Below are 17,060 nucleotides of genomic sequence, written 5' to 3' on the forward strand. Positions count from 1 at the left end.
AAATTAAACATAAAATTATAGAAATCTGTCATAGAATTGTATAAGGAGACCAATTTTATTTAGATACAGACTACATATATTTTAACTGGATCTTTGAGCTCTGGGCAGAGCCCACACTGAATCCTGGGTCTCCAAAAAGGGAGAATAATCATGATCTTAGACTAGCATGGCATCCATGCTTTTACAGTGCACTTAAAATAATTCTTTTTAAACAAAGATATTTCTAAGTGTTTGAACTGCATGCTTCCTTAAAACCCAAAAGTAGCCTCTGTTGTAATAGGTATTTTAGTTAAAAAAATCAGGTTACAAAATACGAAAGCAAGCAGTTTATTTAAGAGCTGAGACAAACTTGTCTGTATATTCTTTTGGTATTCCATAAAAAGCAAACAAACAAACAAAAAACAGAAGTTCCTCCCCAAAAGGGAGCTAGGTACCTTCTTTGATTTCTTTAAGGACCCCCAAGATATTTTAAACTATTTTAGGTCCCACATGTAGTAGATGGTGCAAGAGAAAGGAGAGAGAGTAGATGTAAATGGAGAAAACAGAATTCAGTTAACTGAGAAGAAAAAATATTTTGCTCAAAAAAAGGCAAGGTTCTAGGAGAGAAAAAAAAACATGAACGCCTTTTAAATACAAACAGGCACACAGGCACACATACACACACACACGTCTTGGATAATGACTTTTAATTAAGCTTAACCACTGAGCTCCTTTAAAAATTTTTTTAAATCTCATTATCATATTTCAGCTAGGAGAAATTGCTGCTATTTCAGAAGTACCAAGTATCAAACCAGAAAGGGCTGGATTCAGGAACCAAACCCAGGGTGTCCTGGTGGAAGAAAAAAAAAAAAAGAAGGCAGAACCTTAGCTGTTGAACTCCAGCATGGGTGGACAGCCATTGTTCTTTCAGTTTGGCCTGGCTAGTAAAAAGGTGGCCTTGTTATGTAAATAAAGCCCCTTTAGTAGTTAAAATTAAAAAAAAAATTCATTTCTTTTTCCCTTTTGCTGTCCATTTTCTCCCCCACTACACCACCTTTGTGTGCATGTGTTGTGGCAGGGTGTCAGGGGTGGTGGTGGGGAATTTAGCCACTTCAGAGGCCTTGTTCCCCATAATTTGGAATTTTCCTTCAAATTTTATCAAGTCTGATAGAGTTGGTTAAACCCAATGGGAAAAAGACTGAAGGAACAATAAAAATAGGAACAAACATACAACAACAACAAAAACAGTTAAACAAACAAACGACAGCAAACAAACACATTATGTGATTACTGAATATTGTAATGGTAAGGAGAAATTAAGACCAGCTGGTTCTTAAACTTAGCCAAGACAAAACCCCAATTTAGCTACTTACCTAGGGATGGGTCTCAGGCTGAAGACCGTACTCTACCAGCCTAGAAGCTGGAAAAAAAACTAAAAAACAAAAACCTGAACTCATCTTCCCTGCTGCAAATGAGCTCAAACTCCATAAAGGAGTTATCTGCCTTTCATCATCATGGAAACAGAAAATCTTGCCTTCCTTGTTGGAAGCAAGTAAAACTCCAAAAAAGGGAAGTTGTACGGCAAAATAAACTTTAGATCTCGACCAAATTTTGGGAGATCAGGGATTCTCTGGACGGTATGCTCCCAGACCTCAGCAAATTGTCCTATTGGAGCCATAATGTTTGCTTATGCTGATATCAAGCACCAATAGGAGATTTGTGAAAGGTCAGAGGCATCTCCAGTCAGAATTGCCTTGTGGTTACCAAAATGTGAACCCCCAAAATCTGAGACAGGTCTCAGTTAATTTAGAAAGTTTATTTGCCAAGGTTGAGGACATGTGCCTGTGACACAGCCTCAGGAAGTTTTGATGACATGTGCCCAAAGTGATTAGAACACAGTTTAGTTTTATACATTTTAGGGAGACATGAGACATTAATTAACATACATAAGATGAACATTGGTTCAGTCTGGAAAGTCAGGACAGCTTGAAGCAAAGATGGGAAGACTTGAAGCAGGGAGGGGGCTTCCAGGTTATAGGTAGATAAGAGACAAATGGTTGCATTCCTTTGAGTTTCTGATTAATTTCTCCAAAGGAGGAAATCAGATATGCATTTATCTTAGTGAGCAGAGGGGCGACTTTGAATGAAATGGGAAGCAGGTTGGCTCTAGGCAGTTCCCAGCTTCATTTTTCCCTTTAGCTTAGTGATTTGGGGGCCCCCAGATTTATTTTCCTTTCTCAAGTGTTACATCTCTAGTAGATACTGCAATTCAATAAGTAAAAATGCTAGGATTTTTTGCTAGTTACTAGGAATATAATAATCAAATGCGTGATTGCAAATATTATAAAGTCACATGAAGAAAAAGGACAGGTAACCTAATAATGATAGTACACACTGTGACTAATTGTTGTTAGGAAAGTGTAGTACTTAAGAACTAGAGTCAGAATGCACTGATTTTCATTTCAGCTTCACTACTTATTGACTGGGTAACCTTCTAAGCCTTGATTTATCATCTATAAAATGAAATTAATAACATTACCTAATTGATGAGGTAATTCGGAGTATTAAGTCAGTTAATGTACGAAAAGTAATTAGCACAGTGCCTGGGAAATAGTAAGCACTTTATGAATATCAGCTCTTTTTAGTAGTAGTATTGTAGAAGTATATGTAGAGAAATCAGGAGTAAAATGAGGATTGCCATTCACACAAAATCCAGAACTGGTAGGCAATGATTCTAGAATAAGAGTTACCCATGGGTGGAAGGTATAAGGGATGAGGGAAAAGTTTGTGCCAAACAGGGTTACAGAGGTTTGCTAATGTATGTCAAGTTTTTGAAACTGCTGGTATAGGCATACCTTGTTGTATTTTACTTCGCATTATTGCACTTCAGAGATGTTGTAGTTTTTTTACTAATTGAAGTTTTGTGGTAACCATAGGTTAAGCAAGTCTGTTCGTGCAATTTTTCCAATATCATGTACTCACTTTGTGTCTCTGCACCACATTTTGGTTATTTTTAAAATATTTTTATTTTTAAAATTATTACTATATAGATTATGGCAATTTGTGATCAGTGCTCCTCGATGTTACTTTTGTAATTGTTTTGGGGTGCCAAAAACTGTACCTATATAAAACAAGTCAGCTTAATTAATGTGGTGTTTGTTCTGAGTGCTCCATTGACTGGAAGTTCTGTCTCCATCTCCTTAGGCCTCCTTTTCATTGAGACACAGCAATATTGAAATCAAGCTGTTTAATAATGCTACAATTGCTTCCCAGTGTTCAAATGAAAAGAATTGTTGCATGTCTTGTCACTTTAAATCAAATGCTACATGTGATTAAGCTTAGTGAGGAGGGCATGTTGAATGCCAATACGGCCGAAATCTAGGCCTCTTGTCCGAAGAATTAGCTGAATTGTGAATGCAAAGGAAAAATTCTTGAAGGAAATGAATGCTACTTTAGTGAACACACAAATCATAAGAAAATGAAATAGCCTTTTTAATGATATGGAGAAAGTTTTAGTTGTCCGAATATAAGATCAAAACCACTATAACATTCCCGTAAACCTAAGCTTAATTTAGAGTAGAGCCTAACTTTCTTCAATTCTACAAAGTCTGAGAGAGGTGAGGAAGATGCAGAAGAAAATTTGGAAGCCAGAAGAAGGTGGTTTATGAGGTTTAAGTAAGGAAGCCATCTTCATAACAAAAGTGCGAGGTGAAGCAGTAAGTGCTGATATAGAAGATACATGTCTAACTTAATTGATGCAGTAGCTACACTAAATAACAGATTCTCAATGTATATGAAACAGCTTTCTAAAAGAAGATACCACCTAGGAATTTTATAGCAAAGAAGACATGTAAATGCTTGACATCAAAATTCAAAAGACAGGATGACTTTCTTGTTAGGAGCTAATGCATCTGGTGATTATGAGCCTTGGTAATGAGCCAGTGCTCATTTACCCTTCTGAAAATCCTACGGTCCTTAAGAATTATGCTAAACATGTTCTGCCTATGTTCTATAAATGGAACAATAAAGCCAGCATGACAGCATATCTATTTACAGCATGGTTTACTGAATATTTTAAGCCCACTGTTGAGGCCTACTGCTTAGAAAAAAAAGACTTCTTTCAAAATAGTACAGCTCATTCACAGTATACCTAGTCACTCAAGAGCTTTGAAGGTGATGTGTAAGGAGATTAATGCTGTTTCATGCCTGCTAACACAATAACTGATACGGTTTGGGTGGTGTCCCCACCAAAATCTCATGTTCAGTTGTAATCCCCAGTGTTGGAGGTGGGGGCCTGGTGGGAGGTGATTGGATCATGGGGATGGATCCCTCATGAATGGTTTAGCACCATCCCCTTCATGCTGTTCTCTTGGTGCTGATAGTGAGTGAGTTCTTGAGAGATCTGGTTGTTTAAAATTGTGTAGTACCCCCTCTTCACTCTCTCATTCCTGCTCCTGTGCCTGCTCCGCCTTCACCTTTCACCATGATTCTAAGTTTACTGAGGCTTCCCCAGAAGCCTTGCAGATGCCAGCATCATGTTTCCTGTACAACCTGTGGGTCTATGAGCCAATTAAGCCCCTTTTCTTTATAAATTACCTGGTCTTGGGTATTTCTTTATAGTAATGCAAGAATGGTCTAAGTACAATAACCATTTGGCAGCCTGTGGATCAAGGAGTAATTTTGATTTTTTGTACTATTTTTATTAAAATACATTTTGTAAGGCTATAGCTGACATAGGTGATGATTCCTCTGATGAATCTAGGCAAAGAAAAATCTCTGGAAAGAATTCATCATTCTAATTGCCTTTGATAACATTCATGATTCATGGGAGTAGATCAAGATATCAACATTAACTTGAGTTTGGAAGAAGTTGATTCCCACCCTCATAGATGACTTTGAGGGGTTCTAGATATTAGTGGAAGAAGTAACTGCACTTGTGGTAGAGATAGCATGAGTAATATTGATAGAATTATAAGTGGAGTTTGGAGATGTACGGAATTGCTGCAATGTAATGATAAAACTTTATTAATGAGATGTTGGTTTTTATGGATGAGTAAATAAAGTAGTTTCTGGAGATGGAAACTTTTCCTGGTGAAGATGCTGTGAACATTGTTGAAATGACAATGAGTTGGAATATCACATAAACTTGATAAAGAAGCAGCTGGATTTGAGGATTGACTCCAATTGCAAAAGTTCTGTTAGTAAATTTTTATGAAACAGCATTGCATGCTGCAGAGAAATCTTTCCTGAAAGGTGCAGTCAGTCATTGTGGCAAATATCATTGTTGTCTTATTTTAAGAAATTGCCACAATCACTCCAACCCTCAGGAACCATTACCCTGATCAGGCAGCAGCTGTCAACACTGAGGCAAGACCCTCCACCAGCAAAAAGAAAACATGCTAAAGGCTCAGATGATCATTAGCAGTTTTTAGCCATAAAGTATTTTATATATATTTTCTTCTAGACATAATATTATTGCACATTTAATAGGCTACAGCATTGTGTAAATGTTACTGTTATATGCACTGGGAAACCAAAAAAATTTTGTGACCCACTTTATTGCGATATTAACTTTATTGCAGTAGTCTGTAACTAAACTTGCAACATCTCCAACATATGCCTGTACTGTTATTTGACTGCAGTGTTAATGCTATTAGCAGAGAAAGAAGCAAGGCTAAGTTTCTAAGATTGGTATATGATATGTTAATGTGATTGGACGTCATAAAAGTGAGGGAGAAACACTGAGGAAATTTAAGCAAGGGAATTAAGAAGTGTTTGGAGGAGAATCACAGAAACCTCTTTTGGGGTTAAAGAGAGCACTTTGTCAGTTAAGTTTGTGTATTAAACCATGAGGAAAGTTATGAGTGCCTTCATTCATTAGGCATGTGTTTGCTATAGAAAGAACTTAAACTATTTAATGTTTATAAACAATATCCAAGGATTTATCATCAGAATAATATGCTATAATACTTATGCAGAGCTGTCTGGTATATTTATTCCTCATGTTTTATTCCAGAAATATGTTTTATTTTGTCTTTTACAATTGTCTATTTTCTGTGTAACCATATTTTTAAAAATATTACCTTGTCTGAATTATATACATTATTATTGTATTAATTATCTGTTGAAAGTTTATATGGAATAGATTTCATCGTGGATCTTAGTAACAGCTAATTTAATCTCCAATTTGAATTTATTTATATTTTTTAAAAGAACAAGTAAGAATATAACCTAATAAGATCTCAAGTTGTTTGCCTGAAACAGCCCGATTGTCTTTAAGATATGACTAGTTAACTAGCATCCTTTATGTAACTATGCTTTTAAATCCAAATAGTGGTTTGCAAGACCCTCTCTTTCCCTTCAGTTCGTTAGATGAACTTGATAATTTTAGCACATTCTTTTATATTACATTTTCCTTTTTTGTTTATCTGAAATATTATATCAGAGTTTATTATGTCTGGCAAGCTGACGTTTTGCACAAACACATCAATTTATCTTTCATAAAATAAGAAATTTTCTCCCACAAATTTTGACATTTTGTAGTAAATATCAAGCTATTAATCTACTTCTCTGTCCAAATGCATTTAATGCAACTTTTTTATAAAATCATAAAATTTAAAATATTGATCATTATTATTAATTCATTAAAAATATAGCATATCTTAAATTCAAGTTTTAGATTTTGGACATGTTTTCAGTATGAATTTACATTTACATTTGAATTGACAAAATGTATTATCAGGGTTACTGTAGTTTCAGCTAACTTAATTTTTAGCATGTTGTCTTATCAATTATTTTGGGGGTTTTTTAAACAGATGGGGAAGATGAGAATATGAAATTGTGTCACTAATCAGTCTTTATTTTGATTATTGTTTGAATAATCACTGTATAATGAATAAAATTATTACCGAAGACAGAATTACAAAGGTGCATTTATACTGGCTTAAGTTTTAAAACTAACTTTAAATGTAACTTGTGTAAACATGTCATATTTTTCATGGGAATACCACAGAACTAAATGGAAAACGTTATTTGCAAGAGTCATGTTCTAGCCATGGCATCAACAAATAGGAATCTTCCTAATTAGAACATAATAGATTTTACAGTCATAAATATCCCATACCCTGAGAAGATATACTTTCATAGAAAATACAAATTTAGAATATTGTTGCCGTTATTGTCTCACTGTTTTTTAAAAGCAGTTGGCTAAATAATCATTCTTTTAAGATGGTATCATTTTTAATACATTAAGAAATAATATTTCATGTAATGCCACCTAATTGAGACACAATAACATCTGTACCTTCTTCCTTTCATAGCTTTTAATAAGGATATTTGAAGTCCTAAGAATACTCCTGTGCTAAATCTTGCTATTGAATCTATTTATTCTATAAATTTCTTGAAGTTATTTATTTATATTTATAAATATTTCTAAATTACATTCATTTATTTATAATAATTTATTTATTTATTCAGTAGTTTTATTGAGTGCTTTCTATATACTGTCTACCAACTACTGTTCTAGTCATTGGAAGAGTGCTGTGAACAATATGAACAAGGCTACTGTTCTCGAGGAGCTTACATTTTAGTGGGGAAAAGACATTTTAACTAATGATCAACCAGTAAAATAAAATAATTTTAGATTGTAGTTTGAAAAGCATAGTTTTATACAATACTATAGAGTAAGGGGGTGGTAAATTACTTTACATGAGTGTCTTTAAGAAGTGCAATATTTACGGTGAGACCTACATGATACAGAGCAAGCCATGTGAAGACCAGTTGCCCTACATCACTTAAGAATGATTCTCCTTTGTGCTTATTCCTTTTCCTAGAAACCAGGCTTGTCCAACTTGCAGCCCATGGGCCACATGCAGCCCAGGACAGCTTTGAATGCAGTGCAACACAAATTTGTAAACTTTCTTAAAACATTATGAGATTTTTTTGCGATTTGTTTTTTTGTTTTTAGCTCATCAGCTATCGTTAGTGTGTTTTACGTATGGCCTAAGACAATTCTTTTTCTTCCACTGTGGCCCAGGGAAGCCAAAAGATTGGGCACCCCTGCAGTTTCCAGTTTTATTAGAAGGGGCCTGGAACTGCTGTATGCTATTGTAGACAGAGAAAAACTGAGAATAGCCAGATACACTTGAACCTAATGCTGTGCTTCATTTCTTTCTGCTCTCTGTATCAAATTTTCCTGTTTGATCTCAGCACTTCTGCATATTTTTAGATGTTAAAAAGCGATTTCTTGTCCCACCCACGTGAGTAGTAGAAGACAGGATATTTTTCATGTTCTTTTTTCTCATAGCACTTACTGAGTTCCAACATATTATATAATTTATTATTATCGCCATTTATTATCTGCTCTCCCACTAAGAATTTTTTCACTGCTAGCTTTTATTTTTAACTGATACATCCAAGTACCTGGTACAATGCCCAGAATATAATAGATACTTAGTGATTTATTTGATATATGCATAAATGTATACCCCTTAAGGAGGGAATCTTGAAAGAGAATCTGATTGAGTTAGTGTCTGCTTGGCATTGCTTACTAATTTTACAAAATCATCCTTGTATCTGCCTTCCATTTCCATAATTAATTATATCTTATTTTTAAAGTATATACCTGACAATGGACTGCAACAGTATTTTCCATAGGCAATTTCCTGTGGAATTTTCTATGGAAAGTCTCGGGTGGAGGAACATTTTGAAATATTTGTACAACAAATTGTAGTGCTGACTCTTCTGTTGAATAGCCAGTATGGAATATATTCAACCTGAGCCTGTAGCCTCCAGCTGGGACTCCAAGTACAAAAACTGCTTGTGCTGAGTCTACATTTACTCTTGAGTGCCATTTATTTTAACAGATTTGTTACTCTGAGTGTCCCTTGCATCAGTTTTTAAGAAAGTCTGTATTTCAGATGGTACTTTTTATAGAGACTTTACCCATACACTTCATCCCACCATTAATACTCATTATTGTAAAAGGTAGGAGAGTATTATCTGTAGCAGGAGTTGGTTGAGGTCTTCAATCAGTACTTTACTTAATGTTCAAGTATCATGTGTAACCTAATTTGAACTGCAGCTGTTATTTTTGATAATTTTAAAAACAGTGTTAATTTTGGGAGGTCCAAGTGTCTCATCACCCCCAAGAAGTGGTATTTCAGCTTATTCTCTGAAAACAAGCTGGAATCAAAATAGCATTCATATTTCTTATGAAAACTTTTACATTTGTCTTTATTATGTTTATTAATAGGTAAAGATAGATAATGTAATTATTTCAAGTTTTAGAATGTTTTGGTTCTTTACTTCCTGACTTTTACTTGAAGAAGTAGTCAGTTTCCTCTGGCTACTTTATTTATTCAAATATTCTTTGGGCAGATGTAAAAAAAATATATAGAGATGTTTCATGTGTGCCTATGTCTTGCTTACTTGCCTGAAATTATGATCTTTCTTATAAGGTACTTAGTTATATGGACCCACAGATGGCAGGTAAACCATAATAAAATTCTGCAGTTCCAGCCTGAATCATGTGCTTCATCAATTTAAGTATATTGTTAGTCTGTTGGTTACTCCCACTACTTATACACCATTTAAATTAAAGAAATGCCAAATCCTTTATATGTTAAAGAATGGCAGATATTTGGGAGTGATAATGAGTTAAATAGGGATTGCACAAGGGGATTAGTGAAGACTCATATTTGAATATTATATATTTTAATAATCAATGCTTTTTTCCCCTAAAAATGTGCCACTTGCTCTTTGAAAATTTTCCATCTCAGTTCCTTTCCCCACTTTTGTTGGACCTTCTTTGTTTTGTCTATATTTATTTTATTCTGCTTAATTTCGATTTTCACTTTTAGCAGTTTCTCCTCATTATGAGACCAGTCCTGGAATAGAGATTTGACTGGTTGCTTTTGAAAGTTCATGTACTCCAACTGTTCCAGGCTTCTTTAGAACTTCCTCAGGATCCCTTCAACTAACCTAGTCTTGTATTGAGCAACTCTACACTTCTGTTTTCACTTCCTTATTCAAGTTGGCCTGGCCTAGTTCCAGTTAATACCTTTTTGAAACTTTTGAGTTTTCCTATTGATTCCCTCTTTTTCCTGCCTCATAGACACTGGTACCTTCCACAGCTTGAGTTTGTCATTTACCCGTACCAGTTTATGTTTTGACATTTAAGGGGATAGATAGTCTGCCACTTACTTTTGTTAGAATAGTTGTTCTTTTTTTTTTTTTTTTTGGCTTTTCAATTTAGCTGCTATATATTTTAATATTGGAAGTCAAGGATATCAAAAACTATCCTGCTACGCCCACTGCCCACTCAGAACTCTGTCCCTTGGATTGCATTTGTTAATTTCTAAGTAGTTAAGCTTGTTTTGGCCATATGTGAAATTATAGTTTTAATTTTATTTTATTGGAATATGTTAATGTACCTTATAAAAGCTACCATTTAGATTTTTAAAATACTTTCTCTGTACAATGTTTATTGTCTTCTTTTTAAAATGTTCTATGGATTAAAAATATATTTTAAATCATCTGTGTTCTTGATGATTTCTGCTCTGTTTTGTAACATAACTTCTTGAAAGTTCAGCCTGTAGTTTGTTTCTACTTTGTAATGTTCCACATTCTCCTTATATTATTCTGTTTATATTAACATCCCCACCACTCTGTTGGAAGTTCATTTGTTTAAATTACTCATGAAGTTCATGTTGTCAAATCCAGTAGCCATATTTTCATCCTCGTCTTAACCAACAAAATCAACCACTACTTTCTTCTTGCAACATTTCTGTTCTTTGATCATCTTGGCACAACCCTTTCCTGGTTTCCTCCCACCTACCTTTCCACTTCTTTTTTTTAAGCTCTAATGATGGGGTGGCCCTGAATATCCTCTTAGAGATAATTTCTCCTGCATCTATTCTGTCTCCTAGGGACTATCAAACAAGTACATGATTTAAGATGACATTTATGTTCCTTTGATTTCCAAATTTTTAAATCTAACCTTTCCTGTGAGCTTCAAGCTAGTAGTTACTGTCTACTCTTGAACATTTAATAGGTATTTCACATTTAACATATTCTAAGTAAGTTTTTCTTTCCTTATTTCTCCCTTGATCCTCATGGCACTTTTCTATTCTCAATAAGTAGAAATATCATCTTTCCACTTGTTCTTGTGAGAGCAAACTACAATAGTCATGACTGATTCTTCTCCTTCATTCACCTGTCATATCTAATCTTTCTTCATTCACCTGTCAAATCTAATCCTTCAGCACGTCTCCTCACTTCTCTCTCTAAATTATGTACCTAACTACTTATTTTTGTCTTGATGACTACTACCCTTGTGCAAGCTACTATTGCCTTATGACTAGAAAAATCAAATATCCTCTTCTCTTATCTTCTGGATTTCCCCAATTATTTCTTTCTCACCCAACAGCCAGAATGATATTTTTCTTGAGAGTTAGATCATGTCATTCCCATAGCTCAAAACTTTCCATGGGTTCCCATTGCCCTTATAATATATTCCGAACTCTTTGTCATGGCCAACGACCTATGTGACTTGCTTTTTGCTTTCTAATCTGAATTTATTTACAACTACTCTGTCCTTTGCTCACAATACTCCAGATCTTATGACTTTTCATAAACATGTCTAACCTAATCATCATCTTTACACTTGAGAAACCTCTACCAACAGATATTTGTGTGTTTTTAAACTTCTTATTTGGATATAAGCTCATATATCACCCCTTTAGTGAGGCCAGCAGCTCTAACCACCGGATCCAAATTAGCCGCAAATCCTCCTAGCTCATATCATCTTTGTTTTTTTCCACTCAAAACACCACTGTCAACAATTGTGATATCCCCCTACAAGTTCACCTGGTTATTTTCTCCCTCCTGCTATTAGAACATAAAAGCCAAAATAATAGGAGCTTTGTCTTATTACAATGGTGTAGAACAGAGCTTGTTTAGTGACTATTTCTTGAATATTTTTACATGATTTAAATGATTTAAGTAGATCAATTTTGTGTCTCTTTGATCAGATAACTTTTAAAAGAGATATGCATGTTAATAATTTCTTCCAAAATTTTGCCATTATCAAATTCCCCTTATATGTCCAGAGATTGTGTTTTTACTTACTTGGCCTGTATTTTTGGTGCATATTGTTTTATTATTGTTATGTTTTCTTTGTCTCAGTGTTTTATTTGATCAGGTTTTGCCTTTGAATTTCACTTTGCTATTAATATTGGTTTATATGTTTTATTGTTTTTAAGTGCCTATTATATCTTCTTACAGTATTTTATATTTTAGATAAAAATGTGTCACTGTTCTATATGTGTTTTCTGCTAAAAACGTAAAGCTGAATTGTATCTTTACTGCAAAAATCTCTGTCTTTCAATGTGGATTCACCCTGTTGACATTTACTGCAATTGCACTGTATCTTATTCAGTTAATTTTATGTTATGTTTATTATTTTATTTGTTATTTCATCTGTTCTCTTTTTTTATATATTTGCTAATTTATTCAAGCCTTTGTTCAAGGTCCTTATGCCCCCTTTTCATTTAGGTATTTATCAACATTGCGTAAGGTTTCCTCCTATTCCAATTTGTCTTAAATAAACTAATTTTCTTTATTATGATTTCAAAATATTATCATTTTGAAGATTTTTCCTGTTCTTAATTATTGTTTCCAGAATTCTGTTACCATGGATTTAAGTTCTTGTTGACAATATTCTTTGATAAGCTTCCTTTCTATGATATTCTATGGACAAAGACCTGGGAAGAAAATTCATTCTTTTAAACTTTAAAAGATGTTTTTTCTTTAATCTTTTATAATATTTTCACCTATAACCAATCTCCTATGCCAATTATCTTTCTTCAGCCTTTGTATAAGTGTTTCATAATTCAATAGCTTAGAAGCTTGTAGGAAATGAATATTACTATATTTAAGCTTACATGTACATGCCAAAGAATCATTTTCTCAACTTACTGTAATTCTTTACATAAGAAATACTGACATCCCTTATTTTAGAATGCCATTTAAATTCCTTAGTGTTCTTTCCTTGCACTGGAAGCTGGGACAATTATAGGATTAATTTCCTTTGTTTTTCTTCACTCAGGGATCATAATCTCTGGCCAGTTGTCCAATGCCTGAAATTGGTTGTTTCAGATACTTCACCTAGTTTTCCAGTTGTTTACAGCAGGAGGGAAAACTCATTCCTTTTAGTCCATTTTCAGTAGAAATTCTATTATGTTTTTGCAACATTTTCATAAAATATTATTAAAAGAAAAAGAGATTTTAATACCTGAATGGTTTAGCTTCAGCAATGTGGGAAAACTCACTTATATTGACATCTCATTTATACATGATACAAAAGTTTAATAATGTTTATATTGTAACTTTTACATGCCAGAAATTATGGTAAACATTAAATTTCTATTCAGTTAGATTTTCTATAACATTATAAGGTAGATGCTTTTATTATTACCATTCGCATATGGGAAAACTGAGAAATAGACTAGTTTTTCAAAATATACAGGGCTAGTAATTGAAAAACCACATTACACAATCAGTTATTCTCTATCCAGATGCTATATTGTTGATTGATATACTATAATACACTTCCTCAGGACAGATGTTACAGTATGATCTCTATAATGTTAACAGAAATGGAGAACGACTTCAACTTTTTGGCTAGTTTCACCTTTTAAAATTAACTTCTTATTAACATTAACAAGTTTTAAAATGATGTGACATATTTTATTATTTGAATGGTGTGTAACAAAACATTTGTATATATATATGAAGCTTCCCCAGATGAAGTTATATAGGGAGAAAATTCCCTGTTTTCTTAGCTGAGTTGAAATGTGGGTGTTTTGGTTAGGCATATTTAATCTGTCATAGTATTTCACATGAAACTCTTAGCGTGCATCCTTAAAGTAATTATATAATAGTTTTTAAAATATTTAATGTCGTATTCTACACTATGACCATCATTAGCAGTTGGATATATTAGGTATTCTAGATGAAATTTTCATTCCATCACATATTTGATTTATAATATCATGATCCAAATGTCTTGGTGATTTAGAAAAACTGTATTTACAAATGTCATGAAATATCACCACAGGTTTTAGAGAAGAACATACTTTCAATTTTTTTTATTTTGATTTTTCAGATTGCATTCTCACAACACAATACAATCATGGACCTTGTGCAGTTTTTTGTCACCTTCTTCAGGTAAAAGTTTGCTTTGACTGACTTTGAACTTTTCAAGCCTGTATTCTGATATATGTCCTGTCAATCTGTTAGATAATCGACCAATTCTAAAACCTTAAAGTATCATAGAGTATGTCTTGAATAGCTTTATATGCTTAAATATATCCCACAGAGGAGAGGTAACATAGCTGAAATGTACTTGTGCAAGATTATTTTGCTGTTATACTATTTAATAGCCAATGGATTCAGTGGAAAGAGGATAACTTTGTGTCCCCCATCACATAAATAATTATAGCCTGTTTTAATTAATGAAATTAACAATGCATGCACCACATGGATTAGTTACATCTACAAGAACTAAACCAATTTGTTTATTTCTTAGTTAATTTTGTTAATTGTGTGACATATTCGTTGTAGGTTCATAAAAAGGGCTCCACAGTGAAGCAGCTTTGTAAAATGCTACATGTCCTAAAGTTAAATAGTGCTCTTTTGGTTGGTTTTCAACTGGCATTACTTCTCAAAGCTTTTAAAATGCTAATTTGCAATATGTCATTCTACAAGAGAGGTTATAGTTTGTAGCATTTCTCAAAACATGAAAACTGTTTTCAGGGAACATTTATTTTCATTTCCATGGGATGTAAATGTAGAGACTCTGGGTTAGGAGTTTAAGTTATAAAATATCTGTGTTATGAGATCGTAGATCCTCTGGATTGGAAGAGATCTTATTTTTGTTAACATTATTATTCACGTGTGAAGTTTATGCTGGTCATTTGGGTGCCTTTGTACAAATTAGACAAATATGACTTCTCCTTCTGGCAGATACAGCCCCACATCATGGCACACAAATTTGGAAATAGTGCAGTATGAATTTTAACCAACACTCACCAACTTGGCTGGGCTGCCATACAGTAAAGACCTGCACAACTCAATCCTTAGCACAGATGATGTATTTGGAACTTGTCTAAACACAAAGTAACCATCATCTTTTTGATTGTCTTGTCCAGATATCCATAAAGTATTTGAATTTCTAATACCTTCTTCACTGGAGTCAGCAAACATTTTCCATTAAGGGCCAGATAGTAAATATTTCAAGATTTGTGGGCTGTATGGTCTTCATCGCATCTATGCAACTTTTCTGCTATAGTGTTAAAGCAGACAAAGCCAATATGGAAACAAATGGGAGTGGCTGTGTTCCAATAAAACTTTATTATAAAAACAGCTGGTGGATTGAATTCAGCCTGTGGACATAATTTGCCCAACCACTGATCAGTTTTATGCCTGAATGCCTTTAATGACAGGAAGCTCACTAGCTCCTCAGATGGCATTTTCTATCATCAGATAACAAATTGTTCTTTATAACTGAGCTGAAATCTGCCTCCCTATGATATCTCTCCTAATTCCTCCATGTGGGCCCATATATAACAATTTCAATTTCTCATTTCCATTTACAGCCCTTCAGATTTGTAAAGTATTTTCTACGGTTTACACATTCCTTGTTCATTTTTCTACTTCTCTTGATAAGAGAAACCTTTGCCATATTGGTCAGTTTACTCTGAAAACAATCATGTTCATCCATGCACCTTAAAATATTATAATTTCTATAATGTATTTCTATAAACATATTTATCACTAATATGTGTAAAAAGTGCATTCGTACTTTAAATTGTTCCTTAAAATGAAATTTGAGGAAACATCTTAAATATGTTTAATATTTTACAACTTTGTACTTCAGAAAACAAATGAATTTTAAGGCTATTAACAAAGTTACAGTATGGTTTTAGAAAGTACTAGAAATTACAGTTGAACAAGCATTATTGAATGCATTAAAACAACTTTTGTTGTTGTTGTTGTTGTTGTTGTTGTTGTTGTTGAGACAGGGTCTCACCCTGTCACCCAGGCTGGAGCAGTGGCGCTATTTCGGCTCACTGCAACCTTCACCTCCCGGGTTCAAGCATTTCTCCTGCCTCAGCTCCTGAGTAGCTGGGATTACAGGCACGTGCCACCACGCCCAGCTAATTTTTGTATTTTTAGTAGATACGGGGTTTCACCACATTGGCCAGGGTGGTCTCGATCTCCTGACCTCAGATGATCTGCCCACCTCGGCCTCCCAAAGTGCTGGGATTACAAGTGTGAGCCACCATGCCTGGTCTAAAAAAAACTTTTTGATGCAGAATAGTCTGGAAGAAAATTCACTGAAAGTTTGGTTAAGTGAAAAATTTCACAAAGTTGAATATGTATGTAAATTATTTGAATCTTGAGGTTTTTTATTTTAAGCTTTTGAATTTGTGTGCATATTTAAATTCAATAGCTCTTTTGTTAAGTAAAAGAAAATTACTGTTAATGTGTACCATGTCTTAGAGATGATCCTATTTATTATGTTGTCATCATGGACAATGTAAAATAAAATATTCTAATCTTTGGGTGTGATAAAATATATTTGATGGGTTTTTTGTCATTTAAATTCTTCCAGTAGTGAAATGTAAATTAGATCACTTAAAAAACTGGGTCATTGTTAAGAAAAATATGGACAGGATATTTTGAAGCTTATCAATTATTAAGTTTTATAAAGCTACTGCTAAACTTTAGGAGATTTTAAAACAGGTTAACATTTATGGAGACCCCTCAATCAGGCCATTTTTACTGTTATTGCTGTTATTTTGGTAACAGAGCTGAGTGCGTCAGCTTTGCAGTTTAGCCATTGTTCTGTAGGGGCTGGTTCTCAAACTCTTTGTTAGATTTTACCTCTATATTGTGTGTAGTTCTGATGGTAAACATAATTGGGCCAGTACTAGGGAGATCACTTACAGACATACCCTGGCTCTGTTCTTAATGTTTTATGCCATCTTAAGTAGGTCACTATTTTAGTTTGTTTG

General features: G+C 33.8%; 1 protein-coding gene across 9 annotated transcripts in view; it reads left to right on the top strand.

Moving 5' to 3' along the window:
• Nucleotides 1-17,060, top strand: part of ATRNL1 (attractin like 1) — an 855,635-nt gene that overhangs the window by 411,752 nt on the left and 426,823 nt on the right. For all 9 annotated transcript variants that reach the window (NM_207303.4, XM_011539587.2, XM_011539588.3 and 6 more), the window contains one exon: nucleotides 14,147-14,208. In NM_207303.4, the coding sequence (NP_997186.1) occupies nucleotides 14,147-14,208 (62 nt within the window). The remainder of the gene's footprint in view (nucleotides 1-14,146; nucleotides 14,209-17,060) is intronic.

The sequence above is a fragment of the Homo sapiens genome, chromosome 10 (genome assembly GCF_000001405.40).
Source record: "Homo sapiens chromosome 10, GRCh38.p14 Primary Assembly".
NCBI classification, from domain to species: Eukaryota; Metazoa; Chordata; class Mammalia; order Primates; family Hominidae; genus Homo; species Homo sapiens.